Here is a 25,629-nt window from a genome sequence, read left to right on the forward strand (position 1 = left end):
ATATTTGGATTAGGGATGTTCAATCTGAAATACACTTAATGGAAAAAGGCTGAATACTTTCCCCCTGTGCTTGAGAAAAAAGCAATGATGTTAACTCTCATTATTTCTATATGCTGGAATTGCCAGCCAGTGCAATAAGACAAATAAATGAAAGGCTTACTGATTGGAAGGAAGAAATAAAATTGTGTCTATTAAAGAGACCACATAATCGTCTATATAGAAAATTTCTGCCAGTAACGGTGGCTTGCCCCTGTAATTCCAGTGCTTTGGCAGACCAAGGCAGGAGGATTGCTTGAGGCAAAGAGTTCCAGACCAGTCTGGGTAACATATAGTGAGACCTTATCTCTACAAAAAATAAAAACTAGCCAGGCATGTTGCCATGTGCCCATAGCCCTAGCTACTTGGATGGATGAGGCAGGAGAATTGCTTGAACCTAGAAGTTCAAGTTATGGTGAGCTGTGATCACACCACTGTACTCCAGCCTGGACAATAGAGCAAGACTCTGTCTCTCTCTCTCTTTTTTTTAAAATACTTTTAAGTTCTAGGGTACACGTGCACAACGTGCAGGTTTGTTACATAGGTATACATGTGCCATGTTGGTTTTCTGCACCCATGAACACGTCATTTACATTACGTATTTCTCCTAATGCTATCCCTCCCCCTGCTCCCCACCCCTCAACAGGCCCCAGGATGTGATGTTCCCTGCCCTGTGTTCTCATTGTTCAATTCCCACCTATGAGTGAGAACATGCGGTGTTTGATTCTCTGTCCTTGTGATAGTTTGCTCAGAATGATGGTTTCCAGCTGCATCCATGCCCCTGCAAAGGACATGAACTCATCCTTTTTTATGGCTGCATAGTATTCCATGACGTATATGTGCCACATTTTCTTAATCCAGTCTATCATTGATGGACATTTGGGTCGGTTCCAAGTCTTTGCTATTGTGAATAGTGCCACAATAAACATATGTGTGCATGTGTCTTTATAGTAGCAAGATTTATAATCCTTTGGGTATATACCCAGTAATGGGATCACTGGGTCAAATGGTATTTCTAGTTCTAGATCCTTGAGGAATCGCCACACTGTCTTCCACAATGGTTGAACTAGTTTACGGTCCCACCAACAGTGTAAAAGTGTTCCCATTTCTCTACATCCTCTCCAGCATCTGTTGTTTCCTGACTTTTTAATGATTGCCATTCTTACTGGCGTAAGATGGTATCTCATTGTGGGTTTGATTTGCAGTTCTCTGATGACCAGTGATGATGAGCATTTTTTCATGTGTCTGATGGCTGCATAAATGTCTTCTTTTGAGAAGTGTCTGTGTTCATATCCTTCACCCACTTTTTGATGGTGTTGTTTTTTTCTTGTAAATTTGTTTAAGTTATTTGTAGATTCTGGATATTAGCCCTTTGTCAGAGGAGTAGATTGCAAAAATTTTCTCCCATTCTGCAGGTTGCCTGTTCACTCTGATGGTAGTTTCTTTTGCCGTATGGAAGCTCTTTAATTAGATCCCATTTGTCAATTTTGCCTTTTGTTGCCATTGCTTTTGGTGTTTTAGTCATGAAGTCCTTGCCCATGCCTATGTCCTGAATGGTATTGCCTAGGTTTTCTTCTAGGGTTTTTATGGTTTTAGGTCTAACATTTAAGTCTTTAATCCATCTTGAATTAATTTTTTTATACGGTATAAGGAAGGGATCCAGTTTCAGCTTTCTACATATGGCTAGCCAGTTTTCCCAGCACCATTTATTAAAAAGGGAATCCTTTCCCCATTTCTTGTTTTTGTCAGGTTTGTCAAAGATCAGATGGTTGTAGATGTGTGGTGTTATTTCTGGGGCCTCTGTTCTGTTCCATTGGTCTATATCTCTGTTTTGGTACCAGTACCATGCTGTTTTGGTTACTGTAGCCTTGTAGTATAGTTTGAAGTCAGGTAGTGTGATGCCTCCAGGTTTGTTCTTTTTGCTTAGGATTGTGTTGGCAATGCGGGCTCTTTTTTGGTTGCATATAAACTTTAGTTTTTTCCAATTCTGTGAAGAAAGTCATTGGTAGCTTGATGGGGATGGCATTGAATCTATAAATTACCTTGGGCAGTATGGCCATTTTCACAATGTTGATTATTCCTATCCATGAGCCTGGAATCTTCTTCCATTTGTTTGTGTCCTCTTTATATTTCGTTGAGCAGTGGTTTGTACTTCTCCTTGAAGAGGTCCTTCACATCCCTTGTAAGTTGGATTCCTAGGTATTTTATTCTCTTTGAAGCAGTTGTAAATGGGAGTTCACTCATGATTTGGCTCTATGTTTGTCTTTTATTTGTGTATAGGAATGCTTGTGATTTTTGCACATTGATTTTTTATCCTGAGACTTTGCTGAAGTTGCTTATCAGCTTAAGGAGATTTTGGCATGAGACAGTGGGGTTTTCTAAATATGCAATCATGTCATCTGCGAACAGGGACAATTTGACTTCCTCTTTTCCTAACTGAATACGCTTTATTTCTTTCTCTTGCCTGATTGCCCTGGCCAGAACTTCCAACACTATGTTGAATAGGAGTGGTGAGAGAGGGCATCCTTTTGAATCTACAAAAATGCTATTAGAACTAATAAGTGAGTTTAGCAAGGTCACAGGATACAAAGTCAGTAATTATGAGTCAATTTTATTTCTGTTGACTAGCAACAAACAATTGTTAATAAAATTGTGAAAATAATACCAGTGATTAACAGCATAATACATATGGAAATCTGGCCATGTGTGTGTGTAGTATTTATACATTGAAAACCATAATACATTTCTGAGAGAACTAAAAGATCTATATAAATGAGAAGATGTACTGTATTCGTGGATCAGAAGAGTCAATAGTATTAACATTTCAGTTCTTCCCAAATTCATGTTTAGATTTAATGTAATCTCAATTAAATTCCAGTTGAATGTTTGGAGATAGAAATTGGATAAGCTGGTTCTAAAATTCATCTGGAAATGTAAACAACTTGGAATAGCCTAAACAATTTTGAAAAGTACAAAACTAGAGAACTTACTTTACTCAGGTCACATAAATTGTAATTACACATATTAACATTTATTTCTTTTACAAGAAGAGCTCCTTGAGAGCAAGGATTTTGTTTTTGTTTTGTTTTGTTTAATCTGTGTATGCCTAGGGCCTTTACCTTTTCTTGAATATAGAAGGAACATAAATACTAGGTCCTCAATAAATGTTGCATGAATGAAAGAAATAATTTCACTTTTTATCCAAGCATTTTAGGAATCAACTTTGAGGTCTAATCTATATACAGTGAGGTGCAATTGAATGTTAAATGTGTAGATTTTGAATAGCCAGCGCTTTCTTTGAAGCTGTCAAATATTTATGATATATTCCAAAGGAAATTTTGGGGGTTTTGTTTATAAATTACTTTTGCAAGCTTTCTTCTCCGCTTTATTTGGGAACTTAATCGCTTAACATTACTGAAAGTCAGTTTTCAGAGCTGTCAAACCCAGTGCCTGACATAATGTTAAGATTGCGCTAACCAAATTTTACAAGCTAGTAACTACCAAAATGTAGGCTCAAGAAAGGGCTAGGGAAACAGTACACAGGAATAATAGAGAGGCACTTTGTAGCTCCGATATAAAGCAACCTAGTGAAGAGCAAGGGGACAGAACCCCAGTGTTATAAGACACCTTGGCATCTATAAACCAACAGAAATATAACAGATATTACTAGCTGCATACTCCAATATACATTTCCTTTCTTCTCAAATTCTGTATTTTCTAGCTTCTCTTGCAGTTAGATGTGATTAAATGTGGCAACTATGTTTTGACCAATGAGGTGTAACGAAAGGGTAGTGTGAAACTTTGAAGAAGTCTCCGAAAGAAGGTTACAGACCCTTTTCACTCCTTCCTTTTTACTCTTTCCTCTGCCAGTAATGTGGATATGATGGCTGTGCACAAACAGCATTTTGTCAGAGCAATAGAATAGAAGGTACCCTGGTCCTTGACTCTGGAACCACCAAACCAGCTCTGGAGTAACTAAATCTAGATTTCTCTTAATGAGAGAGAAGTAGATTTATTGATATTTATCACATATATATGTATATTGCATATATAATTATGTTACATTTATTGGAGTCTAACATACTTAAAGTTTGCCTTTTTACATGTGTAGGTCTGTGTGATTTGACAAATGAATGGTTGTGTCTCTCCAAAAACTTCCCTTGTGATGCCTCTTTATAGAAACCCCTCCATCCCCACCTTTAACCTTTGGCAACTGTTGGCCTATTTTTTATCCCTATAGTTATGACTTGTTCAGAATGTTAATATAACTGGAATTATATCGTGTGTAGTCTTTTGAGTGTGGCTTCTTTAAGCAGAATGTATTTGAGTTGTTTTATATGTCAGTACTCTATTACTTTTTATTGCTGAATAAAATTTCACTCTATGGATGTACTACTTTATTTAGTGCATTAACAGAATGAAGATTTGGGGTTGTTTCCAGTTTGGGGCAATTGTGAACAAAGCTGCTGTAATTATTCATCTACAGCTTTTTATTGTTTTTTAAAAAATAAATTTTCATTTATCTTAAGTAACACTTAGAAATGACATTGCTTGTGATATGGGAAGTATATATTTAACTTTATAAGAAACTGTTTTCCACAGTTGCAGTTCCATTTTGCATTCCCACAATCAATGTATGCACATTCCAATTGCTCCATATCCTCATCAGCACTAGGTATCGTTAGCTTTTTTTTTAAAGCCATTCTTATAGGTTTGTAGTAATAGTGTATTGTGATTTTTAATTTGCATTTCTGAAATGACTAGTTATGTTAAGGATCTTTCCATATACTATTTATCATCTGTTTCTCTAACTTGATGAAATGTCTGTAAAAATCTTTTCCCATTTTAAATATTGATTTATTTTTCTTATTGTTGAATTTTCAGAGCTTTTTAGATATTCTGGATACAAGTTAACACAAGCGTGGGTTTTTAAAAAGAGTCCGGCTTTCTTGGTTTCTCTACCTTGCTGCTGCTTTCACCATGTGATCTCTTTGCACTTGCCTGCTCCTTTTCTCCTTTTCACTATGCAGGCATGAGGTCTTCACCAGGAGCCAAGCAGATGCTGGCACCATGCTTTTTGTACTTCCTAGCCTGCAGAACTATGAGCTAAATAAACCTATTTTCTTTACAAATTACCCAGCCACAGATATTTGTTATAGCAACACAAAATGACTAAGACAGTCTAATTTACCAATATATTTAGGGATTGTATTTAAGAAATCTTTGCCTTACGCAGGGTGGTAGACATTGTCCTTCACAATTTTAAGTTTTACAACTACATCTATGAACTATTTAAATTAGCTTTTATATGTATGTAGTGTGAGGTATGACTCAAAGTTGATTTTTTTTTGCATAGGGATATCCAGTTGTTCCAGCATGATTTGTATCTGAGAATTATACAGCCTTCCCCCTATTGAATGTATTCTGTATCACTTACTTAGCTCTTATGTCTGTTTGCTATGTTTCCCAAAAATAATAAGTACAAAAAGTTGAATACCACATTTGTCTCTTCGTTCTACCCTCAACTTTGCAACAGTAGATATAAATTATGATAGTTTTTTTAAATAACTGAACATCACAAATACCAGATGATACTTTAGAATTATGATATGAAAGACCACACACAGACATAAAGTGTCATTATTTGGCTTATTTAAAGTTCTTCCTTTCTAAAAATGGGATCATAATACCAACAATAAGGGTTTGTGAGGATTAAATGAGATTAGGGATATAAACATATCTAGGATAGTGCTTGGAGAACATAGTAGGCACTCAATAAATACCAGGTCTTTTCTGCTCTTCTTCATAGACCATAAATAAAATATCAAAGCTAGTAAGTCCAACAGATATTTCCATTTATTTCAGTGGTATATTAACAGATTGAGACAGTTTTCACAATAAGGGAAAGGGAAAGAAAGCAGTTCACCTAGAAGTACAAATTTATCCAGCATCTGATAGTGACCAATTACACTATGATTTTATGGCTCCAGTTCTCTGAGTCTATGCCTAAAAAATGGATGCTAAAGTGCTAGGCCATTAGATATCTGTCAAAACATTTTATGCTGAAGAACACATATTTTGAAACTTGGAGTGAGATCTGGTCTTGTAAAATTAAAACTGTGTTTCATAAAAAAGATTTAAAAATAGAATAAGGATCTGCCTGGGCCTTTCTGGACACACAATGAAAACATCCAGAAGACAAGAAAACGACACAGGTGGGATCATTACATTGCCCCAGGCGCAAATGCTTTCTGTCTTAAAATTTTGAATTCTTTCCAGTTACAAGTTCTGAACTTTCTGGCATCTGCCGCATAAATGCATCACAGAGTTTGGCAGAGGTAAAGGGAAGCATTAATTTTGCATGGAAATCACTTTAGAGATCTTGGTTTAATTTTTCTTGAAGGACTACATAAGCAACTTGAGTGATATAAAAGTCTAAAACTTGCAGGCTTGCTTGGCAGAATGAATCTAACAAGGAAGACCTTCTTTTAAAAAATGCCCAAATATTAAGATATTAAAATTCACAGAAATGGGAAAATGTTCTAACTTCTATATAAAACCCAGAGTAATGTTTATAAACACTTTGGACACAATTTTTATACATGTACACAGTAATTGCACTAAGAATACAGTTGCATTTAGGAGAAATTTATTTGGTGCTCATGTTTTCTACTTACAGTTATTTAAGTTACATGGCTCTGGAACATACTCAGAATATTCATTCAATCAAAGGGTTTGGAAAAATAAAAAGGTCTTATGATATCTAGACTTAGGAATGAATGCTGCAATAAATAACCACTTACACCCTTACATTTATGGCCAATTGATTTTCCACAAAGATGCCAAAACAATTCAATGTAAAAAGAGTAGTCCTTTCAACAAATGATGCTGGGATAACTGGTTATCCATATGTAAAAAGGTGAATTTGGGGCCGGGCGTGGTGGCTCACGCCTATAATCTCAGCACTTTTGAAGGCTGAGGTGGGTGGATCACCTGAGGTCAGGAGTTTGAGACCAGCCTGGCCAGCATGGCAAAACCCCATCTCTACTAAAAATACAAAAAATTTGCCAGGCGTGGTGGCGCGTGCCTGTACTCCTAGCTACTCAAGGGGCTGACACAGGAGAATTGCTTGAACCCGGGAGGCAGAGTTTGCAGTGAGCCGAGATCGTCCTGCTGTACTCTAGCCTGGGCCACCGAGCAAGACTCCATCTCAAAAAAGAAAAAAAAAAAAGGTGTATTTGGAGCCTTACTTTACCATATAAAAATTAACTCAAAATAAGTCATAGATTTAAGTGTAAAGAAGGTCCTAAAGAAAACATAGGAGAAAATATTTTTAACCTTGGATTAGGCAGTGAGTTCTTAGATGCAACACCAAAAGCACAAATGATGAAAGAGGGAAAAAAAAGATAAGTTGGACTTCATCAAAATTAAAAGTTTATGCACTTCAAAAGATACCATCAAGAAAGTGAAAAGAAAGATAAGCCGAAGACTTGGGGAAAATATTTGCAAATAATGTATCTGATAAGGTACTGACATCCAGAATATTTAAAGAACATCTAGAATTCGGCTGGGTGCAGTGGCTCACTCCTGTAATCCCAGCACTTTGGGAGGCTGATGCGGGTGGATCATGATGTCAGGAGATCGAGACCATCCTGGCTAACACGGTGAAACCCCATCTCTACTAAATATACAAAAAATTAGCCGGCCGTGGTGGCGGGCGCCTGTAGTCCCAGCTACTCGGGAGGCTAAGGCAGGAGAATGGCATGAACCCGCAAGGCGGAGCTTGCAGTGAGCCGAGATTGCGCCACTGCACTCCAGCCTGGGCGACAGAGCAAGACTCCGTCTCAAAAAAAAAAAAAAAAAAGAACATCTAGAATTCAATAAAATGACAACCTAATTTTTTAAATGGGCAAAAGATTTGAGTACATATTTCACTAAAGAAAGATATGCAAATGCCCAATAAGCACACGAAAAGATGCTTGCCATCCTTAGTTATTAAGAAAATGCAAATAAAAATCACAATGGCATTTTTCATACCCACTAGAATGGTTATAATAAAAAAGACAATTAAAACTGTTGATGAGGAGGCAAAGAAACTAAAACTCACATATTACAGGTACAAATGTAAAAGGGTACAGCCACTCTGGAAAGCAGTTGGAAAGTTCCATAAAATAGCAAACATTTTGTAACTGACAACTTTCCTGAATTTGTTTCCCTGCTCTAACACTTTTTTTGTTTTTGTTTTTGCTTTTTTGTTTTGGTAGAGTCTTTAGAGTTTTCTGTATGTAAGATAATGTTAACAAAAAACAGAGACAATTTCACTTCTTTCCTATTTGGATAACTTATTTCTTTTTCATTCCTAATTGACTCCAGTACTGTGTTGAGTAGAAATTGTCAAAGTGGGTATCCTTTTCTTGATCTTGGTTTTAGAGAAAAAGCTATCAACTCTGCACTGTTGAGTATGATGTTAGCTGTGGGCTTATCATATATGGCCTTTAATAATGTTGACATGCATTCCTGCTACACCTATTTTGTTGTGAGTTTTTATCATGAACAATGTTGAATTTTATCAAATGCTTTTTCTGCATCTATTGAGATGTCATGTGGTTTCTGTTCTTAATTTTGTTACTGTGGTAATCATATTTATTGGTTTACATATATTGAACCATCCTTGCATACCTGGGATAAATCCCATTTGATCGTGGTGAATTATCTTCTTCATAAGCTGTTAGATTTGCTTTGCTAACATTTTTGTGATGATTCTTGCATCTATGTTCACTAGGGATATTGTTCTGTAGCTTTCTTTTTTATAGTATCCTTGTCTGGCTTGGTATCAGGGCAATGCTAGCCTTGTAAAATGGGGTTAGAATTATTCCCTTTCTCTTCAACTTTTTTGGAAGAGTTTGAGAAGAATTGGTATTAATTCTTCTTTAACTCTTTGGTAGAATTTATCAGTGAAGTCATCAGGTCCTGGTTTTTTTTTGATGGTGAACTCTTATTACTGATTCATTCTCCTTACTTGTTATTGGTCTGGTCAGATTTTCTACTTCCACACTGCCAACAATCTATATGAAAAAGACACATGCACACGTATGTTTATTGTGGCACTATTCATAACAGCAGAGACTTGGAACCAACCCAAATGTCCATCAGTAATAGACTGGATAAAGAAAATGTGGCACATATACACAATGGAATATATGCAGCCATAAAAAAGGATGAATTCATGTCCTTTGCAGGGACATGGATGAAGCTGGAAACTCTCATTCTCAGCAAAGTAACACAGGAACAGAAAACCAAACACCGCATGTTCTCACTCATAAGTGGGAGTGGAACAATGAGAACACATGGATATAGGGAGGGGAACGTCACACACTGGGGCCTGTCGGGGGGTGGGAGGCTAGGGGAGGGATAACATTAGGAGAAATACCTAATGTAGGTGACGGGATGATGGGTGCAGCAAACCACCATGGCGCATGTATACCTATGTAACAAAACTGCACATTCTGCACATGTACCCCAGAACTTAAAGTATATATATATAAAAAGAAATTAAGAAAATAACTTTATTTACAATAACATTAAAAAAATACTTAGGGAATAACTTTAACCAAGGAGTTAAAAGATCAGTACACTGAAAACTATTGGCCAGGTGTGGTGGCTCACGCCTGTAATCCCAGCACTTTGGGAGGCCAAGGCAGGCAGATCGCTTGAGGCCAGAAGTTTGAGACCAGCCTGCAACATGGTGAAACCCTGTCTCTACTAAAAATATAAAAATTAGCCAGGCAAGGTGGCGGGCGCCTGTAATCCCAGCTACTCGGGAAGCTGAGGCGGGAAAATCACTTAAACGTGGGAGAATCACTTGAACCTGGGAGGCGGAGGCTGCAGTCAGTGGAGATTGTGCCACTACACTCCAGCTTGGGTGAGAGAGTGAGACTCTGTCTCAAAAAAAAAGAAAAAAAAAAGGAAAGAAAACTGTCAAACATTGATGAAAGAAATTGAAAAAGACACAAATAGGCCGGGTGCGGTGGCTCATGCCTGTAATCCCAGCACTTTGAGAGGCCGAAGCGGGTGGATCACAAGGTCAGGAGTTTGAGACCAGCCTGACCAACATGGTGAAACCCCATCTCTACTAAAAATACAAAAATTAGCCAGGCGTGGTGGCATGCGCCTGTAATGCCAGCTACTCAGGAGGCTGAGGCAGGAGAATTGCTTGAATCCAGCAGGTGGAGGTTGCAGTGAGCCGAGATTGCGCCACGGCACTCCAGCCTGGGCGATAGAGCGAGACTGTCTTAAAAAAAAATAAAAAAAATAAAAGGACACAAATAAATGGAAAGATATTCCATGTCCATGGATTAGAAAAATTAATGTTGCTGACATGTCTAAACCATCCAAAGTGATCTACAAATTCAATGCAATCCCTTTCAAAATTCCAATGTCATTTTCCATAGAAATAGAAAAAAAAAAACCCTAAAATTCATATGAAACCACGAAAGATCCCAAATCACCAAGGCAGTGATAAGCAAAAGGCAAAAAGCTGGAGACATCACATCACACTCCCTGATTTCAAAATAAAAGCTATTGTAATCAACAGACACATCAACTACTGGAACATGATATAGTCCAGAAATAAACCCAGGTACTTACAGCCAATTGATTTTCAACAAAGATGCCAAGAACACACAGTCTCTTCAGTAAATGGTGTTGAAGAAACTGGATATCCACATGCAGAAGAATGAAATTAGACCCTTATCTCATACCATATACAAAAATCAACTCAAGATGGATTAAAGACTTAAATGTAAGACCTGAAACTGTAAAACGACTAGAAGAAAACAGGAAAAAACCTTCCTGACATTCGTCTGGGCTTAGATTTTTTATATGTGATCCAAAGGCACAGGCAATAAAAGCAAAAATGGGCAAAAGCGATTGCATTGAAACTAAAAAGCTTCTAATCTTTGTCTTTCAATTAGAATTTTTAGACCATTTCTAATTAATTTTATTATTGATGAGGTTGAATTTATATCTGCCATATTGCTTTTTGTTTTATGCTTATCACATTGCTTTGATTTCTTATCTTGTTTTTGATAGAATTTTTCATTGTATCTTCATTATTATGTATTGATTATAAAAATATGATAGCAATTGCTTTAGAGTTTGTAATATACATCTTTAGCATATCAAATTCTCTCATCAAATAATACTGTGCTATTTCAAATATAGTATAAAACAACATATTTTCCTTCTTCCTCCTAACCTTTACAATTATTGTCATACATTTTACTTGGACATGGTTATAAAACTCAAAGTACATTAGTGCATTGTTTTTTACCATTTTTGCTTTACATCAATTTATTTTTTAAAGAGATCTAAACATTTTTTAAAATGCATTTTACATTTACTTTCATTTTTACATTTGTAGTATTCTTCTTTTCTTTGTGTAGATTCAGATTTCCACTTTTGTCATATTTATTCTACCTATGTCTTTTAATGCTTATTTTAGTAGATGTCTGATGGTAGTGAATTACCTCAGCTTTTGTCCATTTGAAAAAGTCTTGAGTTCACCTTATTTTTAAAATATATTTTGACTGGCTATAGAATATTAGATTGACAATTAGTTTTTTCTTTTAGAACTTTAAGGATGTTGTTCCATAGTGGTTAGGCTTCCATAGTTTCTGGCAAGAAGCTGCTTACCTCATCTTTGTTTTTCTGTATTTTAAGCTTTTGAAATTCTCCCTCTGGGTCTTGTGGTGTTTGTTCTACCCTCCCTTACTGACAGTGCTCCTTCGCTTAGGACTGTGAGTACAAGGGTGTTACACCTCTGCTCCAGGACTAAGCTGTTGTTGCTTGTTGCTTGGCAAAAGCTCAGAAACAGACAGGTGTATTTCTACTTCTCCCCTAGGGGAATGAGATCTTTGCTTGGGCTCTAGAGTGGGATGTTATTCTTTTAATGACTTATTTTTCAGTGTGTTTTCTGGTGTATGTTAAAAACAGTGCATTAACACATGTAAGTGATTTACAAATACCTGCCTATATAGGGGGCAGACATTAAGCAGTTTGGCTGATCAGGGGTAAAGTCAGAATAATTTGGAGGCCACTTAGAGAGGGACAGAATTAATAACGTTGATCGATTGGAAGTAGAATTTGCCTCTTCCTCTTCAATTTGATGACAACATGATTCAGATGGTTTACTTTATTTCCATGAGTAACCTCATTTATAAATAGAGAATCTTTTACAGTGCATGTCTTATTTTATTTTAAAATAATTATTAGATTTATGTGCCAAAATGGCGAAGCAGTCTTTATGGACTCTTCCCTATTTTAACCTCCCCCCTCCTTCTTTTTTTTTTTAAATAAATGAAAAATCTCCTGATCATTTTTAGGACTGTGAGGACGTGGGAAGTTGAAAATCCAAAGAAGCAAAAAAGTGTGTTTAAACCACGGACGATGCAAGGCAAAAAAGTCATTCCCACTACGTGCACATATAGTAGAGATGGAAACCTCATAGCAGCTGCCTGCCAGAATGGAAGCATACAGATCTGGGACCGAAATTTGACTGTAAGTTAAATCTTTTCTTAGAACATGGCCACCTTAAATCTTTCCTTAGAAGATGGCCACCTTACAAAGACAAACGTGTTAAAGTATTATGAAGGTGAATTTCCTGAATTTAGACCTAATTTAAACTTCAGTGTTAGGTGATCAAACGTTGAGACTTTTGTAGTATACAGCATTTCAGCAGACATTTCAACTCTGTATTTTTCAGTACATATTATATTTTGTTTTTAAAATAAATTTACTCTTTTGGTATAAAATTTAAAAACCATAGTGCAGCTTATTATATGGCATCTCAGTTTATTTGATTTTGAAAGTGAAGTGTTTAATAGTAATATAAAACAACACTAAGCAGAGAACTAGAAAATACCCTTTAAAAGATTTAAGAAAAACATGAAAAGTCCAAGATGAGCCATCAGTTGTTTTGTAGTTATTTTTCTAGTAATTTAAGTAATATTTTAATATTCTATGACATTTCATATAGATAGGTTTCAGGTTTTTTCTTTACAGTTTCAGGCTATTAGTAGAATAAATAAAGTTTGGAATTGGAAGGAATGATAGAATCCATATAAATAATGAATACAAAAGCCCTTGGCTAGTTCTGTCAATTACCAATAAGCTGTAAAAAGCTTCTTGTTTTATGTATAGATGGTAAAACAAAGATGTTTGTTAAATGGAATGAGTCTAGACACCAGTGTTAAAATAAAATTCTACACAAACACATTTTGGATATCCTTATTTTATAAAAGTTTCTGGCCACATTATTAATTCAGTAAATGTTTACTACATACTATAAACTAGGCACTGTTCTAGGCACTGATAATACTTATCAAAAATTCCTGTCCTCATGGAGTTTTCATTCTAGTTAAATATATATGCATATATTCCACCTTTGTCTATCAAATATTTACATTTTGAAGGGGATCCCAGGAAACACAATTGTTTTTTCAGGCAGATGTGTTGGAAGAAGGTTAAAAAGTGTTGATAGACGGGAAAAGAATCTATACTGATAATGCTGAAAATATCTTTGGCATTTTCTGTTTGTCAGATCTTTTTATTTCTGTTTTCATCTCTACTGTAAACCTCATAAAGCTTCATAACAGCATAGAGATCTTAAAAACTTCTTTGAATTGTAAACTGAGTTTTAACCAAGCAGTAAATTTTTTAGTAACTGGTTTTCATCATCTCTGGGTGCTGTTAACTTAAACACAGAAATTATAAAACATGCAGTTTTCTTGTGTAGCTTTAATAGTAGTGTTTTTTGTATAGTGTATATGTATGTGACTTTCTCTTAAAACCCATACTTTTTATAAAGTTGAATATAGTTTTTAAAGATTTGTCTTGTGTATCTTGAAATAAGGAGTATCTCCTATTTTCAGTTTTGTAGAAAGAAAGCCATTGGAATGCCACTTTCTAACAAGTATCTCTTAAAGCCATTCAGCTAATTACAGTCTTTGATTGTTTTGTTAGAATGTATTTAATAAATGAATGTAAGTTTATTATACCATATCTCATTTGTTATATTTTATTCATATTTTTACATTTGGATACAAATGTGTGTCAACTGGAAACAAATCAAGTTGAAAAGAAAAACTTGCCAGCAGGAAACACAGCTTGATTTGAAAACAGATTTTTAAAAAATTCCTTGCTCCCCCCTCCCCTCCCCTCCCCTCCCCTCCCCTCCCCTCCCATCCCCTCCCCTCCCCTCCCATCCCCTTTCTTTTTTGACAGAGTCTTTCTCTGTCACCTAGGCTGGAGTGCAGTGGAATGATCTCAGCTCACTGCAACCTCTGCCTCTCGGGTTCAGGCAATTCTTATGCCTCAGCCTCCTGAGTGGTTGGGATTACATACAGGCCTGTACCACCACACCCAGCTAGTTTTTGTATTTTTGGTAGAGACGGGGTTCCACCATGTTGTCCAGGCTGGTCTCAAACTCCTGGCCTCAGGGATCCACCCACCTTGGCCTCCCAAAATGCTGGGATTACAGATGTGAGCCACTATGCCTGGCCTGGATTTTTAAAAAATTTCTTAACTTTTTTTTCAGCAAGAAAAATAACCATCCACAGGGAAACACTAAAGCTGAAATGAGAATGCCCAGTAACAATAGTTTTTCCAAACAGTAGTTAAATAATTATATGATGGATAATGGTTAATCTGTATTTTGTGATGATTAAGTAAAACATTCATAATTGCCCCATTTAATCCTAGAATTTTCATTAGATCAACTTGAACTTCAGTAAATTAAACAAAACATATCTTTTTAGAAGTAAGGTATCTCTATTAATGATACATTTCTGTGTTCTCAAGACCTACGTTTACTCTAGAGTTATATTGGTCAATATGCTAGCCACTAGCCACATTTGACTATTTTAATTTTAATTAAAATAAAATACAATTAGAATTTCAGTTTCTCAATCACACTGGACACTTTTTAGGTACCCAGTAGCATCATGTGACCAGTGGCTACTTAATGGACAATATAGACCATTTTCATCATTGCAGAAAGTTCACTGGACATTGCTCCTCAAGAGGAGTGGTTGTTTGCCCAAGGTTCCTTTTATTCATATGATGATGGTCAGCCTTTCATTTGAGAAGAAGGCCTCTTCAGAGAAGCTTCTGTGGATCTGCACTGCCTCCTTGATTCTCTACTTCCCATTCACCAGCATAATTTGAGCAACAGCAAGGCATCTATTGCCTTGTTGGCATGATGTGAGAGAGGGGGAAAGAATAGTGGGAGATGACATTGGAGCAGTAAAAGCATGCACCCTGATTTTGCACATGTTGAGCCTGACAGTCTGCAACACTCTTTTTTTTTTTTTTTTTTTTTGAGACGGAGTCTTGCTCTGTCGCCCAGGCTGGAGTGCAGTGGCACAATCTTGGCTCACTGCTACCTCCACCTCCCGGATTCAAGTGGTTCTTCTGCCTCAGCCTCCAGAGTAGCTGGGACTACAGGCATGCGCTACCACACCTGGCTAATTTTTGTATTTTTAGTAGAGAGGGAGTTTCACCATATTGGCCACGTTGGTCTCAAACTCCTGACCTCGTGATCCGCCCGCCTTGGCCTCCCAAAGTGCTAGGATTACAGGCGTGAGCCACCACGCCTGGCCATTCTGCAGCACTCTTATAGCTATTCATATGGCTTTTTCTCTCATCTCTTTCAGTTCAGAGGACTGAAATTTCTTCTTCTCAGCAAGACCTTCCCTGACCACACCATATTTAAATTGCAGCCTTCTCCCTGCCAGTGGTACTCTCTACCCCTCTTATTTTCTTCCATAGTGCTGATTGCTGTCTGACCTGCTGTACTGTATGTTTCACTATTTTTTTTTTTTTGTTTAACTTTTGAGACAAGTTCTCACTCTGTCACTCAGGCTAGAGTGCAGTGGCATGATTACAACTCACTGTGTGGCCTTGACCTCCTAGGCTCAGTTGATCCTTCTGCTTCAGCCTCTCGAGTAGCTGAGACCACGGGCATGCGCCACCATGCCCAGCTAATTTTCTTGTTTTTTATAGAGATGGAGGGCTCACTATGTAACCCAGGCTGGTCTTGAACTCCTGGACTTAAGCAGTCTCCCCACCTCAGCCTCCCCAAGTGCTGGTATGACAGGCGTGAGCCACTGCACCTGGCCCTCTTTATTGGCTGTTTCCTTCTAGTAGGATATTTGCTGCATGAGGGAAAGGATTGCTGTCTGTTCTACTCCCTGCTGTATTCCCAGAGCAAAGACAGTGCCTAGTATATAGCAGACCTTCAGTAACTATTTGTTGAATGAATAAATGGATGTGTATGTATTCTAAAATAGTAACATAAAATGAGATGGTCAGTTTAGTTCTAAGAATACATTTAAAGAATAGTAGCATAAAAACACTATCCTAGTTATGTGAATACACAATGAGATAGAGTTGGGTATGTGTACGAGTTTTGGGGTAGGGGGAGAGGAGAGAGGTATTGGGGTAGTTTTTGGTATATTCTTAATATAAATATATTAATCTGTATATGTGACTGATTTTGGATTTGCTAATAACAGGCAAATTTTTAAAAACTATGTTCATGTCTCTTTATAATTCTGGGCTTTCAAATAATTCAGCATGTATAGTCTTATGAATACCTAATAACTTCTCTTCATATCAAAACACCTATCAGATTTATTCTTTGACTTTGCACAAAGCACTGTTGCTGTTCTTTAATATCTATCAGGAATCTACAATATACTAGACTCTTGACTAAAAGAACATACTGTGTTTTCTTATCTTGCAATTACTGTTTGTAGGCTAAGTTTTTGTCAGGAAAATTGGGATTCATCTTATTCATGGAGTTTTGTTCTCCCTAGACACAGGTGATGGGAGGGAATAATATTTGAGGTTGTTTGATTTTGCAGTAGGCACCACTAGCAACTTGACCCCTGCTCTATCTGACTGCCTTCTATTGCCCTTTTGGCCTGCAAGCCCTTGCCCAGATTCTTGGGCTGTTCCTTTTGGGAAAGTCACCACACAGCACAATGCCTTACCAAGAAAGCCGCAAGATTTCCCCAGCTCGGTTGGCTGTTCAGTGCCCCCATTTTCAGCCATGCCAGAAAGTGGAACGGAGGAATCTGAGGCAGTAATCATATCAGGAAATCAGCTTTTGGCAAGTAAGACAACAAATATGAAGAAAAAAGAAATATCCAGCACACAGCAAATCTTTAAATGTCTCCAGTTGCTGTCAGATAACCCATGTTAAAAGATTACTTTATGTCTTTCTGCATCCTTCTTCTTATTAATACATGTATTCACAGATATATAGATTGGGCACGGTGGCCCATGCCTGCAATCCCAGCACTTTGGGAAACCAAGGTGGGCAGATTACAAGGTCAGGAGTTCAAGACTCCTGTCTCTACTAAAAATACAAAATTAGCTGGGCGTGGTGGCAGGCACCTGTAGTCCCATCTACTTGGGAGGTTGATGCAGGAGAATTGCTTGAATCTGGGAGGCGGAGGTTGCAGTGAGCCGAGATTGTGCCACTGCGCTCCAGCCTGGGCGACAGAGCAAGACTCCGTCTCAAAAAAAAAAAAAAAAAAAATTTGTTTTTATGTAGAGAGAATTTGAAGCTTGTTTTTTTAATTTGAAAGCATAAAATAGTAGATATAGCTTGATTTCTTTGCTTTTTTTCAAAATGTCTTTATTTAAATGGGATCCTGTAATTTTACCTACATGAAATATGTGCTTTTCAAAAAAAAAAGTTGGTTTTTTGGTTTATTATTATTTTATTCTGTGCCACTCCTCTCCTCTGTCATTGTCCCATCTCTATCCCTTGATGCTTGTAAATTACCTGATAGGTATCCTTTTGTGATTTTCTCCATATCTGTATATCTGTATCTGTTCACATCTGGAACATTTCAACTGGTATTTTTGAGGAGCTCTCACCTCACTGAGAATAAGACAAAAGAAATTTAAACCTATAAGTAGTTTGTAAAAAATTCAGGGAATGATCTGTAAGGTAATTTATGACCAGGTGCTACTTTGTATAATGCCCATCATATGGAAGAGTTAGGGAAGGCAGAGGTCAGGTGGGGAGTCATAGGGCTTCTGAAAGGTGCACAGTTTGGATGAGCAACAGGATTAATAGGGATTACAGAGTAATAATGTTCATAGTTTACTAAACAAAGCAGAAATAGTGAGCTATTCTGCATATAAAAATGATACTAAAGGATCTTTTGAGATTCTTACTTCCCAAAACAGTCTTGAATCTTCTCTTTTAGAATCACCAGCAAGCTAATTTGATATAATGAAGGAAAAGTAAAGCAGAATAAAGATAATGTTTTGTGGGAGAGGTGGCACTTGAGTCCCTGGGTGCCCTCAAGTTACTTAAAGTCTCTTAGAAGTCACTTCTCACCGTTGGACACCATCTGCTGTGCCTTACATTAACAATAATTTTCACAATTTAAAAATTTGCTTTTAGTGGGTTTTTTTGTTAAATTTTCGTAATGCAGCTTTGAACATTTTTCTCTCACACCTCAAGTACACTAATTTAAGACAAATTCTCATACTATTTGTTAACTACTTTCTGTAGTGATTTTTTTTTTAATGGCTGATAATTGCATCTTTTTGTTGCTTTTGGGATATTCTTATAAAGCTGTCATAGCCACTAAAAATGAAAGCAGTATTTACTTTTATGGAGGTTCCCTATGTATGTGTACTAAGCTAGATTGTTAGCAAGAAGGAAGAATTTTATGATAGCGTGCTCTTAATATTTTCTTTATATTTTTCATTTATATCTATTAGAGCAATCTAAACTCCCTAAATTGAGTGTTAAGCTGTTGGTATTCAAGATTTTGGAGATTTTTTTAAAAAAATGCATTGATATATTTTTAGCATATAATGTTTTATCCTTGTTTCCAGTCTTATTTGTGATAAATTTGTCATCTGTTATATAATTTTAAAGTCATATGACTTTGATTTTGAAAACATTTTATTACGTAGTTATTCATTATTTACTGCCGTCTGCAACTGTGAAGATGCGTGAAGAACTCATGTTTCATTTCAAAATTTTCCTTTGAGATTATTTTGATTTCAGCCTTTTTTTTTTTTTTTAAAAAAAAACTTCTTTGACATACCATTTTAGCTATTAATCTTTGGAATAATGTATGGAGAGCTTTTTAAATTCTGATTATAGTCGATAAGTATCCTTTATTTTCCTGATAGTGATATCATCAAAGACTTGTATAAGTTAAACATGACCTCCAATGGTTAAGACTGTGCTTGCAGCCCAGACTAATGACCTCATCTAGGTGTCTTCTCCTTTCTTTCTGCAAAGACTAATCATTTAACAATAATTCACAACTTTTACCTAATAATAGGTGTTCAAGTTAAAGTAGCACGGTATTCACTCTAAGGAGAGGGAGTAGTTGTAGACAAAAAGAACTCTATTTTATTTTTAAACAATTTTTTAATACCAAATGATTTAGAGAATGTTTCTGGTATCTTTGAGAAAAAAGATCATCTGTGTGAAATATAAAGAGCAATGCTAGAAATTCAAAGCTTTGTCTCTTCAATAGACCTAATTCTGGGAATGTAGAAGAATATATATGTATATATTGACAGCTAAATGTCTACTGCATAGTCCTACAGCATGTTTTATAGATGACATCTGAGATATACAATTACATTATATTTTACTTCAGATTTCATGTCTGTGAGTCCTGACTTTCCTAAGCTCTGTTCTTCTCATTTTCTTTATTTACAAAATGAGGGCATGATCCCCCCATGTCATATTGTTATGAGGATTGTATTAGGTAATATATATAAAGCATTCAGATAGGACGTGCACATAACAGGTTCTTAATAACTGCTGGTCTTCGTCTTTTTTCTTTTTAACTCCTAGGGTACTTACAGTTTTTGTAGAATGGTAAAGTTAGACCTCAAGATACTATTTAACTCTGGCTGTGAACATCTTACGCATCCAAGTCTGACAGATTTCTAGGCGACTAAAGGTTTGGTTTAGGAGGATAAAGAGTATAGGTGCCTTGCTCCAGCCAGTCATTCATTGTATGCAAATGTAACCACCATCAATAAGTAACAATGCTATGGACCCATGTTTTAGTTATGCCTGAGTAGATACATCAATTATAATGATCTTTTTACAAATATTCAACAGAACACGTGACATATGAACTATTCTATAGTGCTTTAACATGCCTATTTTCAATGGTTACATTTCCAAAAAAGTATATCATTGATTCAAAACACAAAACCATCATAACTGCAAATTACTTGCAGGCACTAAACTTAAATTCTAATTTGTCAATTATTTTCATAGAGTTATATAAGTTTTAATAATAATGCTCTTGTAAATAATGCTCTTATAAAATGCTCCTGCAAATGCTTTTGTTACACATGCTGTTAGAAGCAACATTCACTAAATGAAAAAATACTGGCTTTTGAGAAAGTTAGGGTAAAAGGTTTTTTAAAAATATGGATGATTATTATCCTTGTTTTTTAAGACTCTGAATAATATAATAATTTAAGACTTCCAGTTAAAACATGGTAGGTTAAACACATTTGTTCAACCATGCTTCCTCCTGAAACCTCACTAAAGTGACAGGAAAGGCTCTTTTTAAAGCATAAACCCAAATGGATGAAGAGAATTAGAGAGGAGATGATAGCAGAAAAGAGGTATCAAGATTCATTTGGAAGCTGGAAGCCAGATGCATAAATGGTAACTGACTTAGCCACCTAGAGAAAGCTGAAACCTTAGCCATGGTAGGAGAAGCCTGTAAAAGGCAAACTGATTTGTCTTATAATTCCCTCCTCTGCTCTATGCAGCCAAATCACTGCTCTCCCTTTACCATCACAGAAGACAAAAGAATTACTTTTAAAGGGGGCCTAATAAAGAGACCCTATATTCCAGGCAAAGAAAATCTTCATGTAGAGTTGTTTGTCCTCTCCTCCTTCTCTGTTGTTGTTATTATTGTTGTTTTTGTTATTATTATTATTGCACTTACTAAGTACTTACTGTGAGCCAGGCAATATTTTAAGCACTTGTAATATTTTATTTAATCCACACAGCAACTCTATGATATAAATGCTGTCATTATTGTTTTACTGATTTAAAAAAAATCCAGAAACAAAGAAATTGACTTGCCTACTAAAAACTACAGTTAGTATGTAGCGTAACTGAGGTTCAATCCCAGGCAGTCTGGCTCAAGAGTCTATACTGAGAGTCAGGAAAACTATGGCCATGTACCAAATCTAGCCCACTACCTGTTTTTGTATGGCAAGCTAAGAATGGTTTTTACATTTTTGGATGGTTGTATTATTTTTCTATGGCTGCTGCAACAAACTACCACAAATTTAGTGGCTTAAAATAACAGAAATGTATTATCTTACAATTCTATAGGCTAAAGTCTCTTTGGGCTAAAATCAAGGTGTTAGCAGGGTGTTCCTTTCTGGAGGCTCCAGGGAGAATCTCTTTCCTTGCCTTTTCCAGTTTCTAGAGGCCGCCCTTTTATCTTGGCTCCTGGCACACTTCCTTCATCATCAAGGCCAGCAACGTTGTTGAGTCCTTCTTATGTCATAACACTGCGACCTTCTGTTCTGCTTCCCTCTGCCACTTTTTAAAGACCCCTGTGATTACATCTAGCCTACTCAGATAATCTAGGATAATCTCCCTATTTTAAGGTCAGCTGATTAGCAACATTAAATCAATCTGAAACCTTAATTTCCCTTTGCCTCATAAGGTAATATATTAACAGGTTCCAGGGACTCAAATGTGGAAATCTTTGGGAGTATTACTCAGCCTATCATAATGGATTCAGAAAATCAAAATAAAAATATTTTGTGACACATGAAAATTATATGAAATTCAAATTTCAGTGTCCATAAATTTTATTATAACAGCCTTGCTCATTCATTTGTATATTATCTGTGACTGCTTTTGTATCATATTAGCAGAATTGAGTAGTTGCAACAGAGTATATGGTCCTCAAAGCCTAAGATACTTACTGTATGGCCCCTTATAGAAAAAGATTTTGACCCCTGTCATATAGTTTCTAATTTGGATTTTAGGGCTTTTCTCTTCGATATTAATGGTAGACGTGGGTCACTAGACATTTGGGGAAATCCTCTAACATGAAATACAGAAACTTATACTAAACAGAATAAGCAAGTCAGAGGAGAGAGAGATAATGTAGAAAACTGAAGAAATTTTCAAGGAAAAAATTATTCTCTCTAAGAGTATAATTGATACTCTTAGAGAGAAAATAGAGACTAGTACAACCAAGAAACTAAAGCAGATTACTACCAAAAAATTTGAATGTTAAGAGATTAAGAAAGATCTCTTGCAAAATAAATATGTGATTGAGGGATAAGGGAAGGAACCCCTAGGAGTATTAAAATCTCCTGGAAAGTATATGTAAATATAGTTGAGGAAGCCTAGGAAGTAGAATAAAATACAGTGATAGAAAAAAGATAGGAGACTTACAGTGTCAATTCAGGGTCTAGTATTTGACTAGAAAGTTCTAATGAAAATACAGGAGAGGGAGGTTGGAATTAGGTAAGAAAGAGTTACTAAAAATAAAGAGGTCTCAGAACTGAAAAAAAGTGATTTTCCAGAGAGGAAGGACTCATCTGGAAAGAATGAAAAAGACGCACACCAAGCCATGCGTCATGAAATTTCAGGACACCAGGAATATAGAGAAGATTTTACTCACAGGGAATACAATAGGAAACATGTGACACAAGAATAATAGGACCATGTAATTTGGGATGTTGGTAAGACAGCTGCTCAAATGTAAGACCAGGGATTCTGTGTTAGTGCAAAGGGACGTCATCTTTCTCAGTCTTCTGTTGAGGTGATGAAATATTTTAAGTTCGGTAATCATTACTTTTAGTGACTGCTCACCAAATCTTCTTAACTCTGTCCTAAGCATTATTTATTCCAGACATACATTCAGCTACATGTGAAACAACCCACCAGGATTATATGCCAGAACTTACGCTCAATATACCCAAAACACAACCTGTCTCTTGTAGAACTCATTCTTCCTTTTGACTTTGCTATTTTTATTATTTTTCCGTTTAGAACTTTAGAATATTCTTTGCCTCCTATAACCAGTGTCAGTCTTATCAGTTCTGTGCTTTAGTGTTTCTCACACTCACTCCCTCAATTGCGTCTCTCGCTTTCATTCTACTTCATACCCTCATCACCTTTAACTTGTGATGCTGGCTATCCTCACCCTTCTCTCTCCGTGTTCTGATAAACCTAGCCCCAGTTTAAATCACGTTAAACGCAATACTTACTACTTCAGTACTTGTCATATGCTGAATAATGTTCAGATTTTCTCAGACTGACACTTCCAGTCTTTCGGTTTATACTTTTTCCCAACCTTTGAGTATCTTCCATAACTTTCTCCATAATCAAAACACTTTTTTTTTTGACACAGGGTCTCACTCACCCAGGCTGGAGTGCAGTGGTGCAATCTTGGCTTACTGCAGCCTCTGCCTCCCAGATTCAAGTGATTCTCCCACCTCAGCCTTCCGAGTAGCTGGGACTACAGTCGCGCGCCACCATGCCCGGCTAATTTTTGTAGAGATGGGTTTTTGCCATGTTGGCCAGGCTGGTCTCGAACTCCTGACCTCAAGTGATCCACCCGCCTCAGCTTCCCAAAGCGCTGGGATTACAGATGGCAGCCACTGCACCCAGCCTAAATCAAAAAACTTTTTAGTCAGACTAGATTATACTTTGTTCCCTTATGATTATCCTCTGATTTACTGCCTTGGTGCCTTTTCCTATACTAAACACTCCACCCTATATGCCTCTCCCACAAGCCCCCCGCTGCTGGTAGAAATAGCCACCATCCACTATCCAACATCCGTTGAAGAAGGCCCAATCACATGCCATTCCCTCCATGATGCTCTGTTATGGACTAGAAGATTATGTATCTAGGGATATAAACCCTGAAAATATTTTGTTTTATTTTTAGTTTGCCTGGTGGTTATTTTGTTTCCCTTTAAGATTAATATGGTCAGGGACTTTTTGTCTTATTTGCTGTTTCTCTGTGCCCAAGATGAGCATGACATATTAATAAATATTTGTTGAATAAATGAATGAATGCTATCAGAGCATTATAGGTTTTATCTTAAATGGGTTTGGTTTTCAATTGCTTTATTGTTGTTTTTAAATTTTAAATCATTGTTCCTTAAACTTACTATCAAATAATTGTGTTTTATAAGTTGTTTGTTTGCTTTAGCCTTCAGTATGTAGTGATGCCTATTTGCATCAGTAGTATTTTTAGCCGATTCTTTTCCAATAACTAGATTTTAAAGCATATAGTATTAACAAGTGATATTTAATGAACACTTACTTTGTTCCAGGGACCATTTCAAGTGCTTTTTATATATTTTAATTCATTTAATCCTCAGAACAATACTGTGAATTAAGTACTACCATTAACTACATGTTTTAGATGAGAAAACTGAAGTACAGCAGTGAAGGGTTTAACAACTCGCCCAAGGCCATGCATCTAGTTAGTTTTGGAGCCAGGAACTCTGACTCTAGAATATGCACTCCAAAATTTCACTGCTATATGGTTCAAAAATAAATGACCCTGTTGGGAATATTCTAAAACAAGATTGTGGTGATGGTTGTACAACTCTGTAAATTAACTAAAAATCATTGAATTGCACACTTAAAATGGGTGAATTTTATGGTCTTAAATTATAATTTGATAAAGATGTTTAAAAAGTGGGTGATCTGTGTTCTTATTAAAATGGATTATAATGTTTTTCAATATTTCATGTGCAGTGGAACTTTTAGCCCTAGTTCTCTTGCCACTGGAATATGGGAGTGGGTGAAGTAGGTAATCTATGCCTTGCCTAAGTTGGCTAAGGACAGAAAAGTTTATATGTCACTGTTACGAGCTCTTTGGGGGTGAGAATTTTTTCTTCCTTACCTTTGGATCTGTTGGTATGTAAACCATCCATAGCAGGGACTTGATAAGTATTTGTTGAATTAAATCTCAAGGGCTTTATTTACCTGCACTGTAGATACTTAAATTGTATCCCCAGAAATCCTAGCTTTCATAGTCTAATTTTAAAATATAGACCTTGTGCAGTATACTTAAAAGGTGAAACATATACACTGCCTAGATGCATAGATATTAACATATAGAAGGGAAAAATGTAGCTGGTGAAAACACTGTGTACAAAACTTTGTAGATTAATATGATTGCATATTGATCAAAGTTGCTTGAGGAAGCCAGAAGGAAAATTGAGTTCACATAAGTATTTACTTATAAAGATTTTTAAAGGTATTCTGAAAACATTGGAACTCACAGGTAAAGTTGGAAGAATTAAAATTTTCTGGTAAACATGGCAGAAATAGAAAACATATAAATATTTATGGATGTGTATTGACATTTAGGACAGAAAAAATGGAAACCAATCATGAACCAAAAACTTCAGTTTAAAATATATCCATAAGAGTTGCTGTTACAGAGTCAAATGTATAAATATAAGCAAGCAGTTAATATAATCTTATATTTTCATTATATTGAATAAGCAGATTCAATA

The 25,629-nt window shown here is 36.3% G+C and overlaps 1 protein-coding gene across 5 annotated transcripts in view, besides 1 other annotated feature; it reads left to right on the forward strand.

The window, feature by feature from the left end:
• Positions 1-25,629, forward strand: part of WDR70 (WD repeat domain 70) — a 374,118-nt gene that overhangs the window by 213,327 nt on the left and 135,162 nt on the right. For all 5 annotated transcript variants that reach the window (NM_018034.4, NM_001345998.2, NM_001345999.2 and 2 more), the window contains one exon: positions 12,420-12,594. In NM_018034.4, the coding sequence (NP_060504.1) occupies positions 12,420-12,594 (175 nt within the window). The remainder of the gene's footprint in view (positions 1-12,419; positions 12,595-25,629) is intronic.
• Positions 2,249-2,449: a silencer, noted in NCBI's record as "peak5232 fragment used in MPRA reporter construct". NCBI's record gives its function as "represses an SCP1 promoter by STARR-seq MPRAs in K562 erythroleukemia cells {active_cell/tissue: K562}" and the evidence as "EXISTENCE:reporter gene assay evidence [ECO:0000049][PMID:32103011]".

This window comes from Homo sapiens, chromosome 5 (assembly GCF_000001405.40).
Source record: "Homo sapiens chromosome 5, GRCh38.p14 Primary Assembly".
NCBI classification, from domain to species: domain Eukaryota; kingdom Metazoa; phylum Chordata; class Mammalia; order Primates; family Hominidae; genus Homo; species Homo sapiens.